The sequence below is a fragment of the Homo sapiens genome, chromosome 1, assembly GCF_000001405.40.
Source record: "Homo sapiens chromosome 1, GRCh38.p14 Primary Assembly".
In the NCBI taxonomy this organism is placed as follows: domain Eukaryota; kingdom Metazoa; phylum Chordata; class Mammalia; order Primates; family Hominidae; genus Homo; species Homo sapiens.
The window spans coordinates 38,951,296-38,959,731 of NC_000001.11; the positions used below are offsets into that span (position 1 = coordinate 38,951,296).

Sequence of the window (8,436 nt, forward strand, 5' to 3'; positions counted from 1 at the left end):
TTCTTTTTTTTTTTTTGAGACAGAGTCTCGCTCTGTCGCCCAGGCTGGAGTGCAGTGGCGCGATCTCGGCTCACTGCAAGCTCAGCCTCGCAGTCTCACGCCATTCTCCTGCCTCAGCCTCCCAAGTAGCCTGGGATTACAGGCTCCCACCGCCACGCCCGGCTAATTTTTTTTGTATTTTTAGTAGAGACGGGTTTCACCGTGTTAGCCAGGATGTTCTCAATCTCCTGACCTCAGATGATCCGCCCACCTTGGCCTCCCAAAGTGCTGGGATTACAGGCATGGGCTACCACGCCCGGCCAACTTCTTTCTTGCACACTTGCTGTAATGCCTGGTGACTGGTTCATCCCACAAAATTAGGAGTGCCTTCTCACAATAGCTTTGGAAACTAAATAGGATATTTCTTGCCAAATTTACTTTAAAAATAAATGTACCGTTGTTTAAGAAAATCATACCAGGCCGGTGCGTTGGCTCACAGCTGTAATCCTAGCACTTTGGGAGGCCGAGGTGGGCAGATCACCAGGTCAGGAGTTCAAGACCAGCCTGGCCAACATAGTGAAACCCTATCTCTACTGAAAATACAAAAAATTAGCTGGACCTGGTGGCGGGCGCCTGTAATCCCAGCTACTCAGGAGGCTGAGGCAGGAGAATCGCTTGAACCCAGGAGGCGGAAGTTGCAGTGAGCCAAAATCGCGCCATTGCACTCCAGCCCAGGCGACAGTGCGAGACTCTGTCTCAAAAAAAAAAAGAGAGACTGGGCACAGTAGCTCACTCCTGTAATCCGAGCACTTTTGGAGGCCAAGGCGGGTGGATCACCTTAGGTCAGGAATTCCAGATCAGCCTGGCCAACATGGTGAAATCCCATCTCTACTAAAAATACAAAAAATTAGCCGGCATGGTGGCAGGCATCTGTAATCCCAGCTACTCAGGAGGGTGAGGCAGGAGAATTGCTTGAACCCGGGAGGCAGAGGTTGCAGTGAGCCGAGATTGCACCACTACACTCTCCAGCCTGGGTGACAGAGCGAGACTCTTGTCTCAAAAATAAATAAATACATACATACATACATACATACATACATACATACATACATACATAAAAATTTTTTTAAAAAATAAAAAAAATCTTACCAGTTAAATTTGGAAAAGGCAGTTTTGTTACAATTATATAGACCATATTACAGTTAGCCTTTCCCTGTTACCATTATTACTATTATTATTATTATTATTTGAGATGGGGTCTCGCTCTGTTGCCCAGGCTGGAGTGCAGTGGTGCAATCTCAGCTCACTGCAACCTTCGCCTCCCAGGTTCAAGCAATTCTCCCATCTCAGCCTCCCAAGTAGCTGGGATTACAGGCATCTGCCACCACACCTGGCTAATTTTTGTATTTTTAGTGGAGACAAAGTTTCACCATGTTGGCCAGGCTGGTCTTGAACTCCTGACCTCAGGTGATCCGCCTGCCTACTGAAAATACAAAAATTAGCCAAGTGTGGTGGCACACACCTGTAATTCCAGCTACTCAGGAGCCTGAGGCAGGAGAATTGCTTGTACCAGGGAGGTGGAGGTTGCAGTGAGAGATCGCACCACTTCACTCCAGCCTGGGAGACAGAGCGAGACTGTCTCAAAAAAAAAAAAAAAAGAAAAAAAGACTGAGATACAACAAGGTCTCTTAAATGTTCTTGGCAATCTACTATTGTCTAAGAATTTTTATTTTTTTGTACCGACGGGGGTCTTGCTTTGTTGCCCAGGCTGGTCTCAAACTCCTGGCCTCAAGAGATCCTTATGCCTCAGCCTCAGAAACCACCTTTGCAAAATTATGACTCAGATAGTGAAAGAGATCTAACTTAACTGATTCCATCTTACTTCTAACCTCCAAGCTGTCCTTGTTCATTCCTGGGCATAGGCTGAACTAACTTTGAGATAAACTTAGTTTATAGTTTAAACAAAGGTGGTAACAGCCCTTTCCCGAAGCAGACCTCCTTCTTGCCTGGGCACTACATTGCCTTTGTAGGATTAATATTAGCCACAAGATTAGAAATGATAGTTTAGGAGTCATGCAGCTGGAAGCTACAAGATTCTGACCTTCCCTAAACTGCTCCTAAGGTCAGTGCTTGAGATATTTTGCAGACCCCACAATTGATGGATCAGCTGGCACCACCCAGCTCAATAAACTGGCTCATCTGATCTTGTGGCCCCCACCCAGGAACTGACTCAGCACAAGAAAAGAGCTTCGACTCCCTGTGATTTCATCTCTGACCAATTAGCACTCCTAGCTCACTGGCTTCCCCCTACCTGCCAAGATATCCTTGAAAACTCTGCTCCCTGAGTGCTAGGGGAGATTGATTTGAATAATAATAAAACTCCAGTCTCCCTCACAGCCGGCTCTGCGTGAACTACTCTTTCTCTGTGGCAATACCCCTGTCTTAATGAGTTGGCTCTGTCTAGGCAGCAGGCAAGGTGAACCCCTTGGGCAGTTACATCTCCCAAAGTGCTGAGATTACAGGCATAAGCCATGGCACGTGGCCTCTAAGAATTTGTTGAAGCTCTGTCTTTTTTTGTTGTTGTTAATAACATTTTTATTTAATAAGAGGAGTCTTGCTCTGTTGGCCGGGCTGGTCTCGAACTCCTGGCCTCAAGCAATCTTCCCAAAGTGCTAGGATTACAGGTATAAGCCACCACACCTACCCTGAAACTCTGCCTTGATTATATCTTGAAAGGAGACACTGCCCTTATCTTCTATCAACAGATTGTTCAAAAATTAAATGATTTCTATTCTATATTTGGGCAAGCTTGTGTTTGAAGAAGCAAAAAAAAAAAAAAAAAAAAAACTCCACTGGCCGGTAGTGGTGGCTCACGCCTCTAATCCCAGCACTTTGGGGGGATCACCTTAGGTGGAGAGTTCGAGACCAGCCTGACCAACATGGAGAAACCCCGTCTCTACTAAAAATACAAAATTAGCCAGGCATGGTGGCACATGCCTGTAATCCCAGCTACTCGGGAGGCTGAGGCAGAAGAATCGCTTGAACCCGAGAGGCGGAGGTTGCAGTGAGCTGAGATCGCACCATTGCACTCCAGCCTGGGCAACAAGAGTGAAACTCCGTCTCAAAAACAAAACAAAACAAAAAAACTCTACTAGAGTCATTGCATGCAAGTTACATGCAAAATAGAACACAAAAGAAGTTCCAGTAATCCCAGCACTTTGGGAGGCTGAGGCAGGAGAACTGCCTGAGCCTAGTTCAAGACCAGTCTGGGCAACATAGCGAGAACCTGTCTGTATAAAAAATAATAATAATAAATAAATAAATAAAACTTGTCAGCATCTTAGTGTCCTCAAATAAATTAAGCCTAATAATCTAATAATTTTTCTTTGCATGAGACTCTGGGCTTGTGTGTTTTTATATGTCAAGTTCAATTGCAATTATTTTATTTTATTTATTTTTTGAGGTAAAGTCTTGCTCTGCCTCCCAGGCTGGAGTGCAGTGGTACAATCACGGCTCACTGCAGCCTTGACCTCCCAGGTTCAAAGTGATCCTCCCACCTCAGCCTCCTGGGTAGCTGGAACCTCATGTGCACTCCACCACACACCTGGCTAATTTTTTTTTTTTTTTTTTTTTTTTTTTTTTTTGTAGAGACAGGGCCTCCCTGTATTACCCTGGTCTAGAACTCCTGGGCTCAAGCAATCCTCCTGCCTTGGCCTCCCCAAGTGCTAGGATTACAGGCATGAGCCACCATGCCTGGTCTTGTTTTATTTTTCATTTACTGTAAAGACAGGGTTGTTTTTTGTTTTTTTGTTTTTTTTTTTTTTTGAGACGGAGTCTCGCTCTGTCACCCAGGCTGGAGTGCAGTGGCGCAATCCTGGCTCACTGCAAGCTCCGCCTCCCGCGTTGACGCCATTCTCCTGCCTCAGCCTTTCAAGTAGCGCCACCGCTCCCGGCTAATTTTTTTTGTATTTTTTTTTTAGTAGAGACGGGATTTCACCGTGTTAGCCAGGATGGTCTTGATCTCCTGACCTCGTGATCCACCCACCTCTGCCTCCCAAAGTGCTGGGATTACAGGCGTGAGCCACCGCACCCGGCTTAAGACAGGGTCTCACTATGTTGCCTAGGCTGGACTCGAATTCCTGGACTCAAGGGATCCTCCTGCTCATCCTCCTGATTACCTGTGACTACAAGCATGTGTCCCCACAGCCAGCTAAATTGCAATGATTTTTGTTAACTGTGAATTCCATATTCTCTGAAGAAGAAATTGATAATTATTGTTCATTTGTTTAAACATTTTAATTAAAGAACTAAGGAACATTGAGCTGCAGAACATTCCTATTCTGCCTGATGTACTCTCATTCTTGCCCACCTATTCACTTTAATTCCCTAGATATTCTCTCACCTGAATGAGCTTGAAATTTAATCTATCTCACCTTCAAAAAGAGAAGCTTTTTTTCCAAACCATAGACCTGTTTGATATTTTTTCCACCTCAAGGTCATTTAGGTTCCTCCTTAACAATAGCAAGCACTAGGCCAGGCGCGGTGGCTCACGCACATAATCCCAATATTTTGGGAGGCTGAGGCAGGCAGATCACCTGAGGTCAGGAGTTCGAGACCAGCCTGGCCAACATGGTGAAACCCTGTCTCTACAAAAATACAAAAATTAGCCGGGCATAATGTAATCCCAGCTACTCGGAAGGCTGAGGCAGGAGAATCGCTTGAACCCAATAGGTAGATATTGCAGTGAGCTGAGATCGTGCCATTGCACTCCAGCCTGGGCAACAGCGCCAGACTCTGTCTAAAAAAAAAAAAACAAACACAACAGCAAGGACTCACACAGTATATACTTTGTGGCAGTGGCTGTACCAAGTGTTTTACATGTATATTAATTTATGAATCCTAACATATAGAGAGATTAAGTAATTCTAGCTAATGGGTGCACAGTTTGGCTTTGAACTCAGGTAATCTGGTACCAGATTCTGCCTCTCCTCTCTGTCACCCACGCTGGAGTGCAGTAGCATGATCTCAGCTCACTGCAACCTCCACCTCCTGGGCTCCAGGTATCTTCCCGCATAGCCTCACGAGTAGCTGGGACTACAGGTGCGTGCCACCACGGGGCTTTTTGTGTGTGTGTGTGTGACGGAGTCTCGCTCTGTCGCCCAGGCTGGAGTGCAGTGGCACTGATCTTGGCTCACTGCAAGCTCCACCTCCCAAGTTCATGCCGTTCTCCTTCCTCAGCCTCCTGAGTAACTGGGACTACAGGCACCCGCCACCACGCCCGGCTAATTTTTTTTTTTTTTTTTTTTTTTTTGTATTTTTAGTAGAGACGAGTTTTCACAGTGTTAGCAAGGATGGTCTCGATCTCCTGACCTTGTGATCCGCCAGCCTCAGCCTCCCAAAGTGCCGGGATTACAGACGTGAGCCACCACGCCCAGCCAATTTTTGTATTTTTTTTTTAGAGACTGGATTTCGCCATGTCACCCAGGCTAGGTACAGCTTGCTTTTTTTTTTTTTTTCCCCAAAATGGAGTCTTGCTCTGTCGCCCAGAGGTGGAGTGCAATGGCGCAATCTCAGCTCCCTGCAACCTCCACCTCACGGGTTCAAGAGATTCTTGTGCCTCAGCCTCCTGAATAGCTGGAATTACAGGCACCCGCCACCAGGCCCATCTAACTTTTGTATTTTTAGTAGAGATGGGGTTTCGCCATGTTGAGCAGGCTGGTCTCAAACTCCTGACCTCAGGTGATATGCCTGCCTCAGCCTCCCAAAGTGCTGGAATTACAAGCTTCAGCCACTGAGCCTGGCCTGGTTCTCTTCTTATAAAGACACCAGTCAAGTCTGTGCACATTGGCTCATGCTTGTAATCCCAGCACTTTGGGAGGCCGAGGCAGGCGGATCACCTGAAGTCAGGGGTTTGAGACCAGCCTGACCAGCAGAGTGAAACCCAGTCTCTACTAAAAATACAAAAATTAGCTGGGTGTGGTGGCAGGTGCCTGTAATCCCAGCTACTCGGGAGGCTGAGGCAGGAGAATCATTTGATCCCAGGAGGCAGAGGTTTCAGTGAGCCAAAATATCATGCCACTGCACTCCAGCCTGGGTGACAAAGCTAGACTCAGTCTCAGAAAAAAAAAAAAAGAAAAAAAAAAGACACCAATCATATTGAGCTATGGCCCACCCTAATGAACTCACTTTGCCTTAATTACCCCCTTAAATGCCATACGTTCAAATGTAGTCACATTCTGAGACACTAAGGGTTAGGATTTCAACACACAAATTTTGGAGGGACATATTAAGCCCATGAAAAGATTATCCTCTTCTTCCTCTACGGTTGTACATATGATACGTGCTATTGTTTAAATATGTTCCCCAAAGAACATGTGTTGAAAACTTAATCTCAGGCCTGGGTGCGGTGGCTCATGCCTGTAATCCCAGCACTTTGTGAGGCCGACGCAGGCAGATCACAAGGTCAGGAGATTGAGACCATCCTGGCTAACACGGTGAAACCCCGTCTCTACTAAAAATACAAAAAATTAGCCGGGTGTGGTGGTGGGCTCCTGTAGTCCCAGCTATTCGGGAGGCTGAGGCAGGAGAATGGCATGAACCCGGGAGGTGGAGCTTACAGTGAGCCAAGATTGCGCCACTGCACTCCAGCCTGGGCGACAGAGTGAGACTCCGTCTCAGAAAAAAAAAAAAAAAGAAAGAAAAGAAAACTTAATCTCTAGTGCAATAGTTTTGGAAAATGGGACCTAATAGAAGATGTTTATGTCATGAACGCTCCACCCTCATGAATGGATTAATGCCAGTTATGAAGGGACTTTTTTTTTGTCTGTGTGGCTCTTTTCAGTTTATTACATGAAGGAGTTACACTAGTCCAAGCTAAGAGCAGACCCCAAATAGTTACTTCATACACATTGTGAGGTTTTTAAACCTGTGACAAAGACAGAAGGGAAATTCTACTCATTGCAAGAAAATCCTCACTTAAGCTTCAGTGAGCCACAGACACTTAGAACCCATGAACCTTCAGCTGATTGTCCTTGGCCAGTGCGATCTCTGCAAGGAACTGGCATAGGTTCTTGCACGGGTCAGTCTGTAGCTTAATTAGTTCTCCATATTCTGGATGCTCTATTGCAGTACCAGGCAAATTTCTTCTTGAATGCCTTCACTAGTTTCTTTTTTTTTTTTTTTTTTTTTTGAGACAGAGTCTCGCTCTGTCACCCAGGCTGGAGTGCAGTGACATGATATCTCAGCTCACTGCAACTTCCGTCTCCCAGGTTCAAGCGATTCTCCTGCCTCAGCCTCCCAAGTAGCTAGGACTACAGGCATGAACCACCACAACCAGCCAGTTTTTGTATTTTTAGTAAAGATGGGGTTTCAGCATGTTGGCCAGGCTGGTCTTGAACTCCTGACCTCATGTGATCTGCCCACCTAGGCCTCCCAAAGTGCTGGGATTACAGGCATGAGCCACTGTGCCTGTCATAGTTTCTTTTTATGGTAGTCATCAGCAATTCCTTGGACAGTAGTAATGGTCTTCCTGCCATTTCTTTATTAAATTCTTATATGGATATAATCCTCAGTGTCAGCAGGAAGCAGGTTATCGCCCTTAGTTGCATCCAGCAAAGAGGTCAAAAGAGTAGAAGTTCAGAATAGCAAACATACTATACAATTCCTTTTCCTCAGCAGAAACTGCCTACAGAGGTAGCAGTGGAAGAAGTGGGGGGAAGTGGGCAAAGGTGGGGTATGGAGCATGAGGAAGCAAGGGGGCTCAAAGGGAAAGTTGCTGAGTCCTCAGCGGTAGCTCACGGACTGGGGTCATGAAAAGACTTGAGGTTTTGAGTTCAATTTTCTTATTGTCCCAGACTCTCTTGCCCTTCCACATTCCACCATGAATGACTCAGCAAGAAGGCCTTCAACACACACCAGCACCTTGATATTGGACTTATCTGCCTCCAGAACTGTGAAAAATACATTTCTTTTCTTTGAAACTACCCAGTCAGTGGTGTTCTGTTATAGCAACACAAAATGGACTAAGAGTATGTTGCTAGTAAATATATCATTTTAGCCATGGGTTTTAAGATCTGGAGCTGATTGGAAATATTGGACATCCCCTAGAGATTCTGTACTCAGAGCTGGATGCAGTAACTAGAGGTAATTTTCGATGTGAATGTGCTTGAAGTTGTATGCAGTATAATCCTAACATCAGAGCAAGACCCTATCTCAAAAAAAACAACAAAAAAAGGATATTATGTAGCTTATAAAATAAATGGGTGGGCTGAAGAACCACATTCTGAGCTACATAATGAGAAAGAGCCAAAACCACATTGCAGAACTGGTCTGATGACAAGACACCACTGCCATGATTGAAGAGCTCCAGATATGCCGCTTGTGCCAATGATACCGTGACCATCAGATACTGGACTGATCACTACCCCACAGTCACTGCTTTTCCAGGAAGCGATCCTC

The 8,436-nt window shown here is 45.6% G+C and overlaps 1 pseudogene, besides 1 other annotated feature; it reads right to left on the reverse strand.

The window, feature by feature from the left end:
- Positions 2,037-2,616: an enhancer, noted in NCBI's record as "OCT4-NANOG hESC enhancer chr1:39419004-39419583 (GRCh37/hg19 assembly coordinates)". NCBI's record gives its function as "activates a minimal SCP1, AML or CMV promoter by ChIP-STARR-seq in naive H9 embryonic stem cells {active_cell/tissue: H9 hESC(naive)}" and the evidence as "EXISTENCE:reporter gene assay evidence [ECO:0000049][PMID:30033119]".
- On the reverse strand, positions 6,808-7,785 carry EIF1P2 (eukaryotic translation initiation factor 1 pseudogene 2; annotated as a pseudogene).